The sequence below is a fragment of the Homo sapiens genome, chromosome 19 (genome assembly GCF_000001405.40).
Source record: "Homo sapiens chromosome 19, GRCh38.p14 Primary Assembly".
Lineage (NCBI taxonomy): Eukaryota > Metazoa > Chordata > Mammalia > Primates > Hominidae > Homo > Homo sapiens.
Window position 1 is genome coordinate 6526097 of NC_000019.10, and position 16485 is coordinate 6542581.

The window sequence follows — 16485 nt, forward strand, 5'->3', positions numbered from 1 at the left end:
CCTTTCTGCTTTTTTTTTTTTTTTTTTTTTTTGGAAACGGAGTCTTGCTCTGTCGCCAGGCTGGAGTGCAGTGGGGTGATCTCGGCTTACTGCAATCTCCGCCTCCTGGGTTCCAGCGATTCTCCTGCTTCAGCCTCCCGAGTGGCTGGGACTACAGTGCGCACCACCACGCCCATGTAATTTTTTGTATTTTTAGTAGAGACGGGTTTCACCATGTTGGCCAGGATGGTCTCGATCTCTTGACCTTGTGATCCACCTGCCTTGGCCTCCCAAAGTGCTGGGATTACAGGTTTGAGCCACCGCCCCGGCCATTCCTTTCTCTTAAGGGAAAAAAAAAAAAAAAAAAAAAAGGCTGCACGCCGTGGCTCACACCTGTAATCCCAGTACTTTCGGAGGCCAGGGCAGGAGGACCCATTCAGCCCAGGAGTTAGAGACCAGCCAGGGCAACATGGAGAGACTCCGTCTCAATTAACATATAAAATAAAATATCCTGTGTGCATTCACTTAGGAAAAAATGCAATAAAATAAAATAAAAAATAAGAATGAAAAAGGACCTGGCGACTCAGCAGCCCACCGAGGTAGCTCACGCCTATAATCCCAGCACTTTGTGAGGTCGAGATGAGCGGATCACTTGAGCCAAGGAGGTGGACTGGGCAATATGGTGAAACCCCATCTCTTCAAATAATACTAAATTAGCTGAGCATTGTGGTGCGCACCTATAGTCCTAGCTACTGGGGAAGCTGAGGTGAGAGGATTGCTTGAGCCTGGCGGTTGAGGTTGCTGTAAGCTGTCATTACCCACTGCACTCCAGCCTCGGTGACAGTGTGAAATCCTGCCTCAAAAAAATAAAAATTACTTAGAAAGGGCCAGGTGAGGTGGCTCATACCTGTAGTCCCAGCACTTTGGGGAGTCTGAGGTGGGAGAGTCACTTAAGCCCAGGAGTTTGAGGTTGCAATGAACCACGATGACACCACTGCACTCCAGCCTGGGCAACAGAGTGAGATGCTGTCTATTTTTTTTTTTTTTGAGACGGAGTCTTGCTCTGTCACCCAGGCTGGAGTGCAGTGGTACAATCTTGGCTCACTGTGACCTCCACCTCCCAGATTCAAGTGATCCTCCCGCCTCAGCCTCCCAAGTAGCTGGAACTACAAGCTAGTGCCACCATGCCCAGCTAATTTTTGTAGTTTTTTTTTTTTTAGTAGAGACAGGGCTTCACCATGTTGCCCAGGCTGGTTTTGAACTCCTGAACTTAAGTGATCCACCCGCCTCAGCCTCCCAAAGTGCTGGGATTACAGACGTGAGCCACCATGCTGGGCTGAGAACCTATCTTAAAACAAAAAATTGCTTCTCTGATTCTCTCTTATGGAAAGTGGAGAGGAGTTGGTGTCCCTTCTGCAATTTTTTTTTTTTTTTGAGATAGAGTCTCACTTTGTCACCCAGGCTGGAGTGCAGTGGCACGATCTCGGCTCACTGCAACCTCCGCCTCCCGGGTTCAAGGATTCTCTTGCCTCAACCTCCCGAGTAACTGGGATTATAGGCATCTGCCATCACGCCTGGCTAATTTTAGTATTTTTAGTAGAGATGGGGTTCACCATGTTAGTCAGGCTGGTCTTGAACTCCTGACCTCAGGTGATCCACCTGCCTCAGCCTCCCAGAGTGCTGGGATTACAGGCGTGAGCCACTGCGCCCGGCCTTCTTCTGCAAATTTATCTATGGCAAACTTCTGTATTTTAGCCGCCATCCACCACATTATTCATAGTTGAGGGGATTCACCAACGAGTAGGTCTTAGGGGTGGTGGAAATCTAAGGAAACTCACCTTTCCGTTCTGCTGGCTTGTAATTTTTTTTTTTTGGTTTACGAACAATTGCTCAAGTGTGACTACAGTGAAGTTTCAGGAGACAGTGAAAACAGAGGCTGGTTCAGTTTGTCATCTTGACCCGGAAGGGATGGTGTAAAGGGAGACATGAGTGGTGAGAAAGTGTCTGGCAGTTGCGGTTCTGGGGAAAGAATGTTCCAGGCCGAGGAATAGCAGATGCGAAGGAAAAACGTGGGCACAAGTGGCATTCTCAAACTTGCGGGGCCGTCGGAATCTTCTGGAGGACACCCCCTCTGAGAGTTTCCGGAGGTTTAGGCGGGGTGCTAGAATTTGCATAGCTAATTGATAGTGGCCCTGTTGCTGGGTCGGGCCTCACACGTGGAGTACCCAAACCGTATATAGGAAGTGTTTAGCATTTGGTAATGCTCCTTCAACACTAGCCAGTAACATTACTGTTTTCTCTGCAATCCCCCAGGGAGGCCCAATACAGGATCAGACACAGTGCTGACCTGGAAGATACTTGTTCTGTTGAATGAGAAGTCTACCTTATGACTGGGCACGGTAACGCATGACTGGCATCACAGTGCTGAGAGGCCAAGACAGGAGCATTGCTTGAGTCCAGGAGTTTGAGACCAGCTGAGCAACATAGCAAGACCCTGTCTCTATAAAAAGTAAAAAATTAAAAAAAAAAATTGGTAGGCATGGTGGTATGTGCCTGTAGTTCCAGCTATTCAGGAGTCTAAGACAGGAGGATGGCTTGAACCCAGGATTGGAGGCTGCAGTGGGCTATGATCGTGCCACTGCACTCCAGCTTGGGCGACAGAGCAAGACCTTGTATCTGAAAGCAAAACAAAAGTCCCTTTATTTTATGGGCTGTTGACTTCTGCTAGCAGAGGGATGAAAGGCGTGGTCTACCCTCCCATCTCCCATGGGGCTGGGAGATGGGAAGGGAGTTGGCCATTGTGGACCCACACTGGTCTGGGCAGACCAGGACTTCAACACCAGCCAAGGGCTTTCCCCGGGTCACGTCCCTCTCCATCTGGGAGTGCTTCCTCTTTTGGGGCCAAGTTTTCACCGCTTCTTGGCCCATCCTCCCAGCCCCGGATTGGCCGCCTCCAGCAGGCCAGAGCAGATGGGAAATGTGTTTCCTCCAACTCGCTCAACACTGTCCCTTTCTTGCAAGGGGAATTTCTCCACCTGGACTCTCCGAGCTTCTGCTTGTAGGGTCCCGAGGGGCTCCTGCCGGGAACCATCCAGTGGGTGGGTGGGGGCAGGCCAGGGAAGGCCCAGGGGTCCCGGGGAAGGTGGCCAGGAGGGCTGAGCATGACACTCAGGGTTCCACTGGGGGGTTGGGGATCAGGGGGCAGATGCTCCAGGAGTGAGGGTGGTTGAGGCTTGGCTGAAGCCTGACCCTTCTTAGGAAGTGCTGGATGTGGGGGAACCCGGGGGAGTCCTAGTGATGGGGGGCTAGGGGGTGCTGAGAGGAGGGGAAGGAGACAAAGAGAGACTAAAGAAGGAAAAGGAGAGAGACAGGGAGAGACAGAGAGTCAGAGAGAGACAGAGGGAATCAGAGACAGAGAGAAACAGGGAGAGAGACAGAAAGAGTGAGAGCCAGAGACATACAGAGACAGGGAGAGACACAGAGATGCATAAAGAGAGGGAGTCAGAGATGGAGAGAGACAGAGATAACGGAGCCAGAGATAGGGAGAGTCAGAGACAGAGAGAAAGAAACACACAGACTGACACAGATAAAAGAGCCAGAGACAGGGAGAGGCAGAGACAAAGAGAGATACAGAGACAGAGATAACAGAGCCAGAGACAGAGAGACAGAGACAGAGATAACAGAGCCAGAGACAGGGAGAGAGTGTCAGAGACAGAGACAGACACAGAGATAACAGAGCCAGAGATAGGGAGAGTCAGAGACAGAGAGAAAGAGACACAAGACAGACATAGATAAAAGAGCCAGAGACAGGGAGAGGCAGAGACAAAGAGAGATACAGAGACAGAGATAGCAGAGCCAGAGACAGGGAGAGAGTGTCAGAGACAGAGAGACAGACACAGAGATAACAGAGCCAGAGATAGGGAGAGTCAGAGACAGAGAGAAAGAGACAGACAGACATAGATAAAAGAGCCAGAGACAGGGAGAGAGACACAGAGACAGAGACATAGAGACAGAGATAACAGAGCCAGAGACAGAGTCAGAGACAGAGACAGAGAGAGCCAGACACAGAGACAGAGAGAGAGAGTCACAGCCAGAGACAGCGACAGAGATAACAGAAGCAGAGAGAGGGAGAAAGATAACAGAGCCAGAGACAGTCAGAGACAGAGATAGAGAGACAGAGATAACAGAGCCAGAGACAGATACAGAGACAGAGATAACGGAGCCAGAGATAGGGAGAGAGAGTCAGAGACAGAGAGAGATATATAGACAGAGATAACAGAGCCAGACATGGGGAGAGAGAGTCAGAGGCAGAGAGAGAGAAGACAGATAGAGAGACAGAGCCAGTGATAACAGAGCCAGAGACAGGGAGAGAGAGTCAGAGAGAGATACAATGAGAGACAGAGATAACAGCCAGAGACAGAGTTAGACAGAGAGATACAGAGACAGAGATAACAGAGCCAGAGACAGGGAGAGAGAATTAGAGACAGAGATAGAGAGAGACAGAGACAGAGATAATACAGGCACAGAGGCACGCATAGACATAAATTGGCAGAGAGAGAGAAAGATCTCTTTCCACCCACTGCAGAGGCAATCAACAGAGACAGAGAAAGACGTTAACGGGGAGACACAGAGAGCAAAGGAGACTGAGTCAGCAAGAGACCCACAGAGATACCGGGAAAGAGCGGCAGAGAGGGAGAACCAGGGCGATGGAGAGACAGCAGGGAGAAAGGAACCTGGAGCCGAGCTTGGAAGGCCGGAAACGGAAAGGAGAGCGAAAAGCGGAGAGAGATCCGAGTGGAGAAAATTCCGCAGAGTCACGGGGACGAGGGGAAAGGCTCTGGGCTGGGAAGGGGCGTGGCCGCGGGCGGAGGGGCGTGGCCGCGGGCGGAGGGGCGTGGCCTCCTTTTGTAGCCAAGCAGCTATAAAAAGCGGCGCGCTGTGTCTTCCCGCAGTCTCTCGTCATGGAATACGCCTCTGACGCTTCACTGGACCCCGAAGCCCCGTGGCCTCCCGCGCCCCGCGCTCGCGCCTGCCGCGTACTGCCTTGGGCCCTGGTCGCGGGGCTGCTGCTGCTGCTGCTGCTCGCTGCCGCCTGCGCCGTCTTCCTCGCCTGCCCCTGGGCCGTGTCCGGGGCTCGCGCCTCGCCCGGCTCCGCGGCCAGCCCGAGACTCCGCGAGGGTCCCGAGCTTTCGCCCGACGATCCCGCCGGCCTCTTGGACCTGCGGCAGGTGAGACGTGCCCCGACCCTCGGTAGCTGGTCTCGCGGGAGACCCCTACCGCCCCTCTGGGACTCCCTTCTCCCTCCCGCACCCCCAGGGACACCTGTTCTACACTCCCGGCCGGGGAGAGGAGACCCACCGGGGCTCCCATTCTCCATCTAGCACCGAGGCCGGGGGGGCACACCTTTCATCCCGCACCCCTACGACACCTCATCTGTACCCCAGGCCGGGGGCGGGGAGGAGACCGCCCAACAGTTCTTTTTGGACCCCCCAAGGGTCTCCTTCTTCTAGTCCGGGGGGCACCCCTTTCATCCTGCGCCCGCTACGAGACCCTATCTGTATCCCGGGAGGGGGAGAGGAGACCCCCACAAGTTCTTTTTGGACCTCCAAGGGCTCTCCTTCTCCGTCTTGCACGGGAGGGCACCCCTTTCATTCCGCATCCCGAGACCCCATCAGCACCCCAGGCCAGGAGGAGGAGACCCCCACAGTCCTCAACCCCTCAGGGATACGTCTTCTGCACCCCGGGTCGGAGAAAGGCTGGCTTCCCTCCATGTGGCAGTGGGTGGGGGCACCCCTCTTCATTCCGCATTCCCAAGGCACCCCATCTGCACCCTGGACGGGGGACCCTCCGCGGTTCTCCAACCCTCGACGGCTTCCTTTCTCTATGTAGGACTTAGGACATTGAGGGCACCTCTTTTTACCCCGCACCCCCACAAGCTCTGCATCTCTGGGGGGAACCTTTTTTCCATCCCCGATCCGAGGGGGGCACTTCCTCTTTATCTGGGACCGCCAAGGAGACCCCCAGTTCCTTTGCTAACTCCCAAAGAGCCTTATCCCCAACATCTGAGGTACCCCTCTCCCTTTCAAGACCCCCAGGGGAATACCCCCAAGGGGGCTGGAAAGAAGAGGGATCGCTTTTCCCTCCTGAATTCTTGGAGATCTGTCCTTGGGGCAGGTTGAGCCACCAGCTTCGTGTGTGTGTGTGTGTGTGTGTGTGTGTGTGTTCGTGTTTGTGTGGGTGTTTGTGTTCGTGTGTGTGTGTTCGTGTGGGGGTGCGTATGTGTGTGTGTTCGTGGGTGTGTTTGTGTTCGTGTGGGTGTGTGTTCGTGTGGGTGTTTGTGTTTGTTCGTTCGTGTGGGTGTTTGTGTTCATGTGGGTGTGTTTGGATATTTGTGTTCGTGTGTGTCTGTGTGTGTTCGTGTGGGTGTTTGTGTGTGTTTGTGTTTGCGTTCGTGTGTGTGTTCGTGTTTGTTCGTGTGTCTGTGTGTTAATGTGGGTGTTCGTGTGTGTGTTCGTTTGTGTTTGTGTTCGTGTGTTTGTGTGTTTGTGTGTGTGTGTGTGCGGTCTCTGTTCTTTAGTTGGGAGGGAAGGGAAGCGTAGGCTTCAGGTCGGCACAGACTCTGGGGACCCTGACAGCTGAAGTGAGTGGGGACAGAACCTCCATTTTCTAGGGGAACCCCCATCCACTTTCCTCCTTTCTACTTTTAACAGGGCATGTTTGCGCAGCTGGTGGCCCAAAATGGTAAGTATCCTCCGCCACTTCCGGTCCCTGGCCCCCCACCATCCCCACCCCGGGATACGAAGAAGGGGGAACCTGGAGAGTGAGGCTCTGCCGCACACTGGCTTTGACCCTTGACCGCTGCTGTCTCTGAAAGCTGCTACTTCCCCTCTTTGAACGCCACCGATCCCTCTTTCTGACTTGCTCTGACTCTCTGGATGCCATGGCCTCCCCATCAGACCCCCATCTGGGCCCACCTGGGACCCCTGCCCTCTCAGAGCTGGGGCTTGACACCCCCAACCCCCAGCCTGGTTTTGTGTCTCTGGCCTCCTTCTTTTCGAAACCCTCTTCCCCGCTGCTTTTCTTCCCTCTTTCCTGCCCCTTCCCCACTCTCCCAGCCTCTCTTCCCTACCTCTTCCCCTCGCCCAGAGCCTCCTCCTTACTCCCATTCTCTTCCCCATCCCCAGGCCCTCCTCCTGTCCCCTTCCCTCCCCCTAGACCCTCCTCCCTGCCCCTTCCCCAAACCCTCCCCAGCCCCATGCTCTCCCAGTTTCCAAGACACTCCTCCCAGCACCTTCCCTCCCCGTCCAGAGACTTCTTCCCCGCTCGAGACCTCTTCCCCCTTCCCCTCCCAGAGACCCCCTTCCCCCTTCCCCTCTCCATCTAGAGATCACTTCCCCCTTTCCCCTCCCCCTCCAGAAACCCCTTCCCCCTTCCCTCTCCCCTCCAGAGACCCCTTCCCCCTCCAAAGACCCCTTCCCCCTTCCTTCCCCCTCCAGAGACCCCTTTCCCCTTCCCTCCCCTTCCAGAGACCCCTTCCCCCTCCCCCTCCAAAGACCCCTTCCTCCTTCCCCTCCCTCTCCAGAGACCCCTTCCCCCTTCCCTCTCCCTCCAGAGACCCCTTCCCCCTTCCCTGCCCCCTCCAGAGTCCCCTTCCCCTCCAGAGGCCCCTTCCCCCTTCCCCCTCCCCCTCCAGAGACACCTTCTCCCTTCTCCCCCTCCAGAGACCCCTTCCCCCTTCCCTCCCCCTGCCTAAGACTCCCCTCCCTGCCATCTTCTCTCCTTGGTGCTTCCTTCTCCCTAACCCCTCCCCCACCCCTTCCTGCTCCCTTTGCCTTTCTTCGAAGTCCTCTCTTACCAGGTCCCCTGTCCACCCCTCTTAAAGTTCCCTTGATTCCCTGATGGATCCTTCCTCTAGAACTTCCTCCTTTCCTAACAGTCTTCCCTCTCCCTCCTAGCTCCCTGTCCACCTCTCCTCTCCCCTTTCCTTCCTTCTCTCCCTTCTCCTCCCCCCATCTCCATCCTGTCCGAGATCTGCTGCTCCCTCCAACCCCCTCACCGCCCTCTCCAGGAGTCCCCTTACCCCTCCCCGAGGCCTCTTCCAGCCAGACTCGCCTGGCCTTTTGCTTTTCACCCCCTCTTCCTCTTCCTGCATGTCTTTCCCCGCACCCGCATCACTCCTTCCCCACCCAACCTCTTGGAGTTTTGCCCTGTCCCGACTCTTGTCCTTCTCCCTGGATTCCCTTCCTCTGTTCTATCCCCGTCTTTCCCTCCCCTAGCTCTACCCCTGCTCAGAGTCCCGCCCCCAACAACCTCAGTTCTCTTCAATCAGCACCCCCCCAACGCCCCCCCCACCCAGGCTCCCCGCTCTGCTCCCCTGTCCCGCTCCCTGCCCCGCCATTCCCCGCCCCCCGGCCCCTGACCCGTTCTTTTCTCCCAGGGCTGCGCTGACATGTTCGGTGCTCAGCCACGCTCAGCTGTGCTGGGACATGCTCAGCTAAGCTAAGTGCATGCTTTCCTCCCACAGTTCTGCTGATCGATGGGCCCCTGAGCTGGTACAGTGACCCAGGCCTGGCAGGCGTGTCCCTGACGGGGGGCCTGAGCTACAAAGAGGACACGAAGGAGCTGGTGGTGGCCAAGGCTGGAGTCTACTATGTCTTCTTTCAACTAGAGCTGCGGCGCGTGGTGGCCGGCGAGGGCTCAGGCTCCGTTTCACTTGCGCTGCACCTGCAGCCACTGCGCTCTGCTGCTGGGGCCGCCGCCCTGGCTTTGACCGTGGACCTGCCACCCGCCTCCTCCGAGGCTCGGAACTCGGCCTTCGGTTTCCAGGGCCGCTTGCTGCACCTGAGTGCCGGCCAGCGCCTGGGCGTCCATCTTCACACTGAGGCCAGGGCACGCCATGCCTGGCAGCTTACCCAGGGCGCCACAGTCTTGGGACTCTTCCGGGTGACCCCCGAAATCCCAGCCGGACTCCCTTCACCGAGGTCGGAATAACGTCCAGCCTGGGTGCAGCCCACCTGGACAGAGTCCGAATCCTACTCCATCCTTCATGGAGACCCCTGGTGCTGGGTCCCTGCTGCTTTCTCTACCTCAAGGGGCTTGGCAGGGGTCCCTGCTGCTGACCTCCCCTTGAGGACCCTCCTCACCCACTCCTTCCCCAAGTTGGACCTTGATATTTATTCTGAGCCTGAGCTCAGATAATATATTATATATATTATATATATATATATATTTCTATTTAAAGAGGATCCTGAGTTTGTGAATGGACTTTTTTAGAGGAGTTGTTTTGGGGGGGGGGGGGTCTTCGACATTGCCGAGGCTGGTCTTGAACTCCTGGACTTAGACGATCCTCCTGCCTCAGCCTCCCAAGCAACTGGGATTCATCCTTTCTATTAATTCATTGTACTTATTTGCTTATTTGTGTGTATTGAGCATCTGTAATGTGCCAGCATTGTGCCCAGGCTAGGGGGCTATAGAAACATCTAGAAATAGACTGAAAGAAAATCTGAGTTATGGTAATACGTGAGGAATTTAAAGACTCATCCCCAGCCTCCACCTCCTGTGTGATACTTGGGGGCTAGCTTTTTTCTTTCTTTCTTTTTTTTGAGATGGTCTTGTTCTGTCAACCAGGCTAGAATGCAGCGGTGCAATCATGAGTCAATGCAGCCTCCAGCCTCGACCTCCCGAGGCTCAGGTGATCCTCCCATCTCAGCCTCTCGAGTAGCTGGGACCACAGTTGTGTGCCACCACACTTGGCTAACTTTTTAATTTTTTTGCGGAGACGGTATTGCTATGTTGCCAAGGTTGTTTACATGCCAGTACAATTTATAATAAACACTCATTTTTCCTCCCTCTGGAGAGTTGGTTGTTAAATTACCAGCACACGCTGTCCGTCTCTGCTCTACAGAGCTGGCCAGTTTCTTCAGCCCCATAGTTTCCCCACCATACAGATCTTTCACGGCCACCCCTATAACTAGACACATCCTCTGGCTGGCTAAGATAGCCCTGTGATTCTGCAACCCAGGGCTTAACATGTGATTTGTGGGGAGAGGAGGATGGTTCCCCCCAATTCTGGTCCAGGAGCCAGTGTCAAATCTGATTAGTCAAATCTGATTGGTCACCGCCTGTCTGGTAGCGGGTTGTTTGCCTGTTTTGAATAAGACCCCTGGCAACAGGTGATTCAATTCTCTCGTCCCAGCTGATTGGGTCAGGTTGGACACGTGACTTGAGCTGGGCCAATCAGGTCTCCCCAGAAATGTGGGTGGGCTGGACCACAGAGGCTAGAGAGTGGAGAAGAGGAAGTTGTGCAAAGACTCAGGTGTGACCACAGAGTTCCAGAGAGACACCAGAGCTACTTTGATTTCCTTCTTGCCTCTTGCTGGTGACATGGGTTGCCATTTTAATGGCAAAACTGCAATAACTTTTGCCTCAACCTAATAGATTTCTAGGGCTGCCATAAGAAAGTACCGTAAAGTGGGTGGCTTAAAGCAAACGAGCTTTGTTCTCGCTCGGTTCTGCAGGCCAGAGTCCAAAGTCAAGGTCTTGACAGGGCCATGCTCATTCTAAAGGCTCCAGGGAGAAGGCCTTCGTTGCCTCCTCCTAAGTTCTGGTGGTTGCCAGCAATCCTCCAGTCTCTGCCTCTGTTGGTCACATGGCTGTGTTCTTTCTGTGTGACTTCATTTCTTTGTCTCTTCTTCCTGTTTTTTTCTTTGAGATGGAAGGAGTCTCACTCTGTCACCCAGGCTGGAGTGCAGTGGCGCCATCTCGGCTCACTGCAACCTCCACCTCCCGGGTTCAATCAATTCTCCTGCCTCAGTCTCCCGAATAGCTGGGATTACAGGCACATGCCACCACACCCAGCTAATTTTTCTATTTTAATAGAGACTGGGTTTCACCATGTTGGCCAGGCTGGTCTTGAACTTCTCCTGACCTCAAGCGATCCACCTGCCTTGGCCTACCGAAGTGCTGGGATTACAAGCATGAGCCTCTATGCCCGGCCTCTTCTTCCTTTTTATGTATTGTTTTTTTTGTAGAGACAGGGTCTTGCTATGTTGCCTAGGCTGGTCTTGAACTCCGAGCAACGCTCCTGCCTCAGACTCCCAAAGTGCCAGGATTACAGGTGTAAGGCACCAGGCCCGAACTCTCCCCTTTTTATAAGGACACCAGTCATGCTGGATTCAGGGCCCATCCTCTTCCAATATGACCTCATCTTAATTTAAATAATTACATCTGCAAAGACCCTATTTCCAAAGAAGGTCATTAATATAGTTTGGCTCTGTGTCCACACCTACTTTTTTCTTTTTTTTTTTGAGAAAGACTCTCATCAGTTGCCCAGGCTGGTGTGTAGTGGCGCAGTCTTGGCTCACTGCAACCTCTGCCTCTTGGGTTTAAGTGATTGTCCTGCCTCAGCCCCCTGAGTAGCTGGGATTACAGGTACAGGCCACCACTCTTGGCTATTTTTTTTGTATTTTTAGTGGAGCTGGGGTTTTGCCATGTTGGCCAGGCTGGCCTCGAACTCCTGACCTCAAGTGATCTGCCTGCCTTGGCCTCCCAAAGTGATGGGATTACAGACGTGAGCCACCGTGCCTGGCCCCCTTGGGGTTCTGAGCTCCCCTAAGCTAAAATCAAGTTGACTGAAGGATTGCTTTCCTTCTGGAGGCTCTAGAGGATAATTGCTTTCCTTGTTTTTCCAACTTCTAGAGGCTTGTTTTTAATTTAATTTAATTTAATTTTGTAAAGACGGGGTCTCCTCATGTTGCCCACGCTGGTCTTGAACTCCTGACCTCAAGGGATCCTCCTGTCTTGGCCTCCCAAAGTGTTGGGATTACAGGCGTGAGCCACTGCACCTGGCAATTTTATTTATTTTTTTGTAGAGATGAGGTCTTGCTATGTTGCCTAGGCTGGTCTCAAATTCCTGGGCTTGAGCAATCCTCCACCATCTGTAAGAATTAAAGAAAGAGGAAAGAAACATGAAAGGTGGCTTAACAGTCAAGGACAGGTTTATTTTAGAGAAAATAAACCTGAGAGGGGCTTCTAGCCGAGTTAGGTCAGAGGCACACTCTCTTACAGACTAGGAGTTTTTAAGCATTTATTCAGGGAGTTTATCAGAGGCTTGGACTGCTTCTGTGTTTCTTTCTTTCTTTTTTTTTTTTTCTTAGTTGAAGTCTCACTCTGTTGCCCAGGCTGGAGTGTGGTGGCACAATCTCAGATCACTGGAACCTCTGCCTCCCTGGTTCAAGTAATTCTCCTGCCTCAGCCTACAGAGTAGCTGGGACTACAGGCATGTGCCACCACGCCCAGCTAATTTTTGTGGTTTTTTTTTTTTTTTTTTTGAGACGGAGTCTCGCTCTGTCACCCAGGCTGGAGTGCAGTGGTGTGATCTCGGCTCACTGCAAGCTCCGCCTCCCGGGTTCATGCCATTCTCCTGCCTCAGCCTCTGGAGTAGCTGGGACTACAGGCGCCTGCCACCACGCCCGGCTAATTTTTTTTGTATTTTTAGTAGAGACGGAGTTTCACTGTGTTAGCCAGGATGGTCTCGATCTCCTGACCTCGTGATCTGCCTGCCTCGGCCTCCCAAAGTGCTGGGATAATAGGCGTGAGCCACCACGCCTGCCCCACAAAGAATTACAAATAAAGCTTTCACTCTTCTTATGTAAAGACCTGACAATGCATACAATGGTCCACTGTTGATTTGGAAGCAGGGACAGTTTTCTATTACAGTCTGTTGATTGTATTGTATAATTGTTAAGGGAAAAAAGGAAAATTATATTTCTGTTTGTTTGTTTGTTTGTTTTGAGATGGAGTCTAGCTCTGTCACCCAGGTTGGAGTGCAGTGGTGCGATCTCAGCTCACTGCGACCTCCACCTCCCTGGTTCACAAGCAATTCTCCTGCCTCAGCCTCTTGAGTGGCTGGGGTTACAGACATGCGCCACCACGCCCAGCTAATTTTTGCATTTTTAGTAGAGACAGGGTTTCACCATGTTGGCTAGGCTGGTCTCCAACTTCTGGGCTCCAGTGATCCACCCACTTCAGCCTCCCAAAGTGCTGGGATTACAGGCGTGAGCCACCATGTCCGCCCACCCCCCCGGTATTTCTTATTGGAACTGTTTTTCTTGTTTGAGGTTTCTTTTCCATACCCTGAATCTACAATGACCCAACCATAACCTTGCTTCTGAGGCCCGTTCTCTGATGAGAAAGTTTAGTTCCAAATGGGGAAAGTACCTGAGTTCCAGCCTTTTCAGCCTGACTTTGCATCTATTTAGAGATAGGGTCTTACAGGGGTGATCACGTTAAAATGAGGTCATTAGGGTAAGCCCTGATCCAATATGACTGATGTTCTTATAAAAGGGGGGCTTTGGCTGGATGTGATAGGGGGGCTCCTGCCTGTAATTCCAGCACTTTGGGAGGCCAAGCCAGGTGGATTGCTTGAGCCTAGAGGCTTGAGACCAGTCATGGGCAACATAGCAAGACCCCGTCTCTACAAAAAATACAAAAATTTGCTGGGTGTGGTGGTGCATACCTGTAGTCCCAGCTGCTAGGGAGGCTGAGATGGGAGATCACTAGAACCTTGAGGTCAAGGCTGCAGTGAGCTGTGATTACCACTGCAATCCGCTCTGTGTGACACAGCAAGATCCTGTCTCCAAAAGAAGTGAGGGTAGGGGGTGGAATTTGGACACAGACACACACAGGGAGAGCACCACGTGGAGAAGAAAATGGAATCCATGGTCAGGCTCGGTGGTTCATGCCTGTAATCCCAGCACTTTGGTGGATCACTGGAGGTCAGGAGTTTGAGATCAGCCTGGCCAACAAAGCGAAACCTCGTCTCTACTAAAAATACACAAGTTAGCCGGGTGTGGAGGCGTTCACTTGTCATCCCAGCATCCCAGCTACTCCGTCTCAAAAAAAAAAAAAAAAAAAAAGGAAAATGTCATCTACAAGCCAAGGAGAGAGGCCTGGAACAGAGCCTTCCCTTACAGCCCTCAGACGGAACCACATCTGCCAATGCCTTGGTTTTGGACTTCCAGCCTCTAGAACTGTTAGACAATAAATTTCTGCTGTTGAAGCCCCCAATATGAGCTACTTTGTTATAACAGCCATATCAATTTAAAAAGAGAATTAAAGGAGTTGATAATTTTTTTTTTTTTTTTTTTTTGAGATGGAGTCTCACTCTGTCACCCAAGCAGACTGCAATGGCACGATCTCAGCTCACTGCAACCTCCGCTCCCGGGCTCAAGCGATTCTCCCACCTTACCCTCCCGAGTAAGTAGCTGGGTCTACAGGCGCATGCCACCATGTCTGGCTGATTTTTCTATTTTTGGTAGAGACAGGGTTTAGCCATGTTGGCCAGGCTGGTCTTGAACTCCTGACTTCAAGTGATCCACCCGCCTGGGTCTCTCAAAGTGTAGGGATTACAGGCGTGAGCCACTGCACCCAGCCAGGAATTGATACTTTAATACACTTTCAATGCACAGTGTCTGGCTCCTGGTTAGCATTCATTAAACGGTAGCAATTATTAAGGACACTCAAATGGACAGAAAGAATGTTACAGAAACACAATGGTACAATAGAGGGGTTGCGGCCAGGCACAGTGGCTCACACCTGTAATCCCAGCACTTTGGGAGGCTGAGGTGGGTGGATCACGAGGTCAGGAGTTCGAGACCAGCCTGGCCAATATGGTGAAACCCCACCTCTACTAAACATAGAAAAATTAGCTGGGCATGGTGACAGGCACCTGTAATCCCAGCTACTCGGGAGGCCGAGGCAGGAGAATTGCTTGAACCTAGGAGGTGGAGGTTGCAGTGAGCTGAGACTTTGCCATTGCACCCCAGCCTGGGTGACACAGCGAGACTCCATGTCAAAAAAAAAAAAAAAAAAAAAGGCTGATTCAAAAAGCTGGCAAGCAAGGCCAATAATAGAGAGAGTAAAAATACTATGAGAGATAGTGAAATAAGAGATAGTGAAAATAGTATACATTGAGCAGGATGTGTTGAGAGATATGACAGACAAGGCAACACAAAGGTGCATTGCTCAAGCAGTGACACACAGATTTACAGATGACATCATACAATAACAGATGTGGGTATTAGAAAGAAGCAACAGCTCACAGAAGAGTGGTTACCATGACACAGCTGTGATGTTATAGAGATATCGCCAAGCTGGGCATGGTGGTACATATCTGTGGCTCCAGCTACTTGGGAGGCCGAGGCGGGAGGATCTCTTGAGCCCAGGAGGTCGAGGCTGCAGTGAGCTGTGATCACACCATTGTACTCTAGCCTGGGCGACAGAGAGACACCCTGTCTTAAAAAAAAGAACACTCTTGCCAAGAAGGGAGTTACAAAGTCATAATGTTATAAAAGCAATTATGCAAGGATAGGATATTGTAAACAGCCACAGCTTTATAATATCATAGCCACGACTCTAACGTTGCCAAACAGAAAGACAAATACTACACGATCTCACTTATATGCGGAATCTAAAATAGTCAAACACATAGAAGCAGAGAATAGAGCGGTGCTTGCCAGGGGCTGTGGGTGGGGAAAACGAAAGGTGTTGGTCAAAGGATACCAACATTCAGTTAAGAAAGATGAGGCCGAGCGCAGTGGCTCATGCCTGTAATCCCAGCACTTTGGGAGGCTGAGGCGGATGGATCACCCGAGATCGGGAGTTTGAGACCAGCCTGACCGACATGGAGAAACCTCATCTCTACTAAAAAGAGAAAATTAGCCGGGCGTGGTGCTGCATGCCTGTAATCCCACCCACTCGGGAGGCTGAGGCAGGAGAATCACTTGAACTCAGGAGGCGGAGGTTGCAGTGAGCGGAGATCACATCATTGCACACCAGCCTGGGCACCAAGAGCAAAACTCCATCTGAAAAAAGAAAGAAAGAAAGAAAGATGGGCTGGGCGTGGTGGCTCACGCCTGTAATCCCAGCACTTTGGGAGGCCGAGGCGGGTGGATCATTTGAGGTCAGGAGTTCAAGACCAGCTTGGCTAACATGGTGAGACCCCATCTCTACTAAAAATACAAAAATGAGCCAGGCGTGGTGGCGAGTGCCTGTAATCCCAGCTACCCAGGAGGCTGAGGTAGGAGAGTCGCTTGAACCTTGGAGGTGGAGGTTGCAGTGGGTCGAGATTACACTACTGCACTCCAGCCTGGGAGACAGAACGTGACTCTGTCTCAAAAAAAAAAAAAAAAGGTGTTTTTATTGGATTAATAAGGAACCCCCTTCTTCTTCCTCTTTTTTTTTTTAATTTTGAGATAGGGTCTCTCTCTGTCACTCAGGCTGGAGTGCAGTGGGGTGATCTCGGCTCACTGCAACCTCTGCCTCCTGAGTTCAAGTGATTCTCTTACCTCAGCCTCAATAGTAGCTGGGACTACAGGTGCACACCACATGCCAGGCTAATTTTTATAGTTTTTGGTAGAGATGTGGTTTCACCATGTTGGCCATGCTGGTTTGGAACTCCTAACCTCAAGTGATCCACTCGCCTTGGCCTCCCATAGTGCTGGGATT

At 52.2% G+C, this 16485-nt stretch overlaps 1 protein-coding gene across 1 annotated transcript, besides 13 other annotated features; it reads left to right on the plus strand.

The window, feature by feature from the left end:
• Window positions 1918-2147: an enhancer, noted in NCBI's record as "active region_13830". NCBI's record gives its function as "activates an Ori minimal core promoter by ATAC-STARR-seq in GM12878 lymphoblastoid cells {active_cell/tissue: GM12878}" and the evidence as "EXISTENCE:reporter gene assay evidence [ECO:0000049][PMID:35858748]".
• Window positions 2578-2837: an enhancer, noted in NCBI's record as "active region_13831". NCBI's record gives its function as "activates an Ori minimal core promoter by ATAC-STARR-seq in GM12878 lymphoblastoid cells {active_cell/tissue: GM12878}" and the evidence as "EXISTENCE:reporter gene assay evidence [ECO:0000049][PMID:35858748]".
• Window positions 4758-4987: a silencer, noted in NCBI's record as "silent region_9958". NCBI's record gives its function as "represses an Ori minimal core promoter by ATAC-STARR-seq in GM12878 lymphoblastoid cells {active_cell/tissue: GM12878}" and the evidence as "EXISTENCE:reporter gene assay evidence [ECO:0000049][PMID:35858748]".
• TNFSF9 (TNF superfamily member 9) lies at window positions 4930-9828 on the plus strand. The gene is made up of 3 exons (NM_003811.4): window positions 4930-5207; window positions 6690-6720; window positions 8504-9828. Exons 1-3 carry the CDS (start codon window positions 4941-4943, stop codon window positions 8968-8970), a joined length of 765 nt encoding a protein of 254 aa, NP_003802.1. The 5' UTR covers window positions 4930-4940; the 3' UTR covers window positions 8971-9828.
• Window positions 5128-5197: a silencer, noted in NCBI's record as "silent region_9959". NCBI's record gives its function as "represses an Ori minimal core promoter by ATAC-STARR-seq in GM12878 lymphoblastoid cells {active_cell/tissue: GM12878}" and the evidence as "EXISTENCE:reporter gene assay evidence [ECO:0000049][PMID:35858748]".
• Window positions 5608-5707: an enhancer, noted in NCBI's record as "active region_13832". NCBI's record gives its function as "activates an Ori minimal core promoter by ATAC-STARR-seq in GM12878 lymphoblastoid cells {active_cell/tissue: GM12878}" and the evidence as "EXISTENCE:reporter gene assay evidence [ECO:0000049][PMID:35858748]".
• Window positions 6309-6809: an enhancer, noted in NCBI's record as "H3K4me1 hESC enhancer chr19:6532416-6532916 (GRCh37/hg19 assembly coordinates)". NCBI's record gives its function as "activates a minimal SCP1, AML or CMV promoter by ChIP-STARR-seq in primed H9 embryonic stem cells {active_cell/tissue: H9 hESC(primed)}" and the evidence as "EXISTENCE:reporter gene assay evidence [ECO:0000049][PMID:30033119]".
• Window positions 6810-7310: an enhancer, noted in NCBI's record as "H3K4me1 hESC enhancer chr19:6532917-6533417 (GRCh37/hg19 assembly coordinates)". NCBI's record gives its function as "activates a minimal SCP1, AML or CMV promoter by ChIP-STARR-seq in primed H9 embryonic stem cells {active_cell/tissue: H9 hESC(primed)}" and the evidence as "EXISTENCE:reporter gene assay evidence [ECO:0000049][PMID:30033119]".
• Window positions 8769-8958: an enhancer, noted in NCBI's record as "active region_13833". NCBI's record gives its function as "activates an Ori minimal core promoter by ATAC-STARR-seq in GM12878 lymphoblastoid cells {active_cell/tissue: GM12878}" and the evidence as "EXISTENCE:reporter gene assay evidence [ECO:0000049][PMID:35858748]".
• Window positions 9819-9908: an enhancer, noted in NCBI's record as "active region_13834". NCBI's record gives its function as "activates an Ori minimal core promoter by ATAC-STARR-seq in GM12878 lymphoblastoid cells {active_cell/tissue: GM12878}" and the evidence as "EXISTENCE:reporter gene assay evidence [ECO:0000049][PMID:35858748]".
• Window positions 10659-10758: an enhancer, noted in NCBI's record as "active region_13835". NCBI's record gives its function as "activates an Ori minimal core promoter by ATAC-STARR-seq in GM12878 lymphoblastoid cells {active_cell/tissue: GM12878}" and the evidence as "EXISTENCE:reporter gene assay evidence [ECO:0000049][PMID:35858748]".
• Window positions 11069-11278: an enhancer, noted in NCBI's record as "active region_13836". NCBI's record gives its function as "activates an Ori minimal core promoter by ATAC-STARR-seq in GM12878 lymphoblastoid cells {active_cell/tissue: GM12878}" and the evidence as "EXISTENCE:reporter gene assay evidence [ECO:0000049][PMID:35858748]".
• Window positions 13629-13688: an enhancer, noted in NCBI's record as "active region_13837". NCBI's record gives its function as "activates an Ori minimal core promoter by ATAC-STARR-seq in GM12878 lymphoblastoid cells {active_cell/tissue: GM12878}" and the evidence as "EXISTENCE:reporter gene assay evidence [ECO:0000049][PMID:35858748]".
• Window positions 13729-13818: an enhancer, noted in NCBI's record as "active region_13838". NCBI's record gives its function as "activates an Ori minimal core promoter by ATAC-STARR-seq in GM12878 lymphoblastoid cells {active_cell/tissue: GM12878}" and the evidence as "EXISTENCE:reporter gene assay evidence [ECO:0000049][PMID:35858748]".

Coding starts and splice junctions, on each gene's coding strand:
- TNFSF9 (NM_003811.4), top strand. CDS start 4,941: ATGGAATACGCCTCTGACGCTTCACTGGACCCCGAAGCCCCGTGGCCT. Junction 5,208..6,689: donor GCCTCTTGGACCTGCGGCAG/GTGAGACGTGCC, acceptor TACTTTTAACAG/GGCATGTTTGCGCAGCTGGT. Junction 6,721..8,503: donor GCAGCTGGTGGCCCAAAATG/GTAAGTATCCTC, acceptor TTCCTCCCACAG/TTCTGCTGATCGATGGGCCC.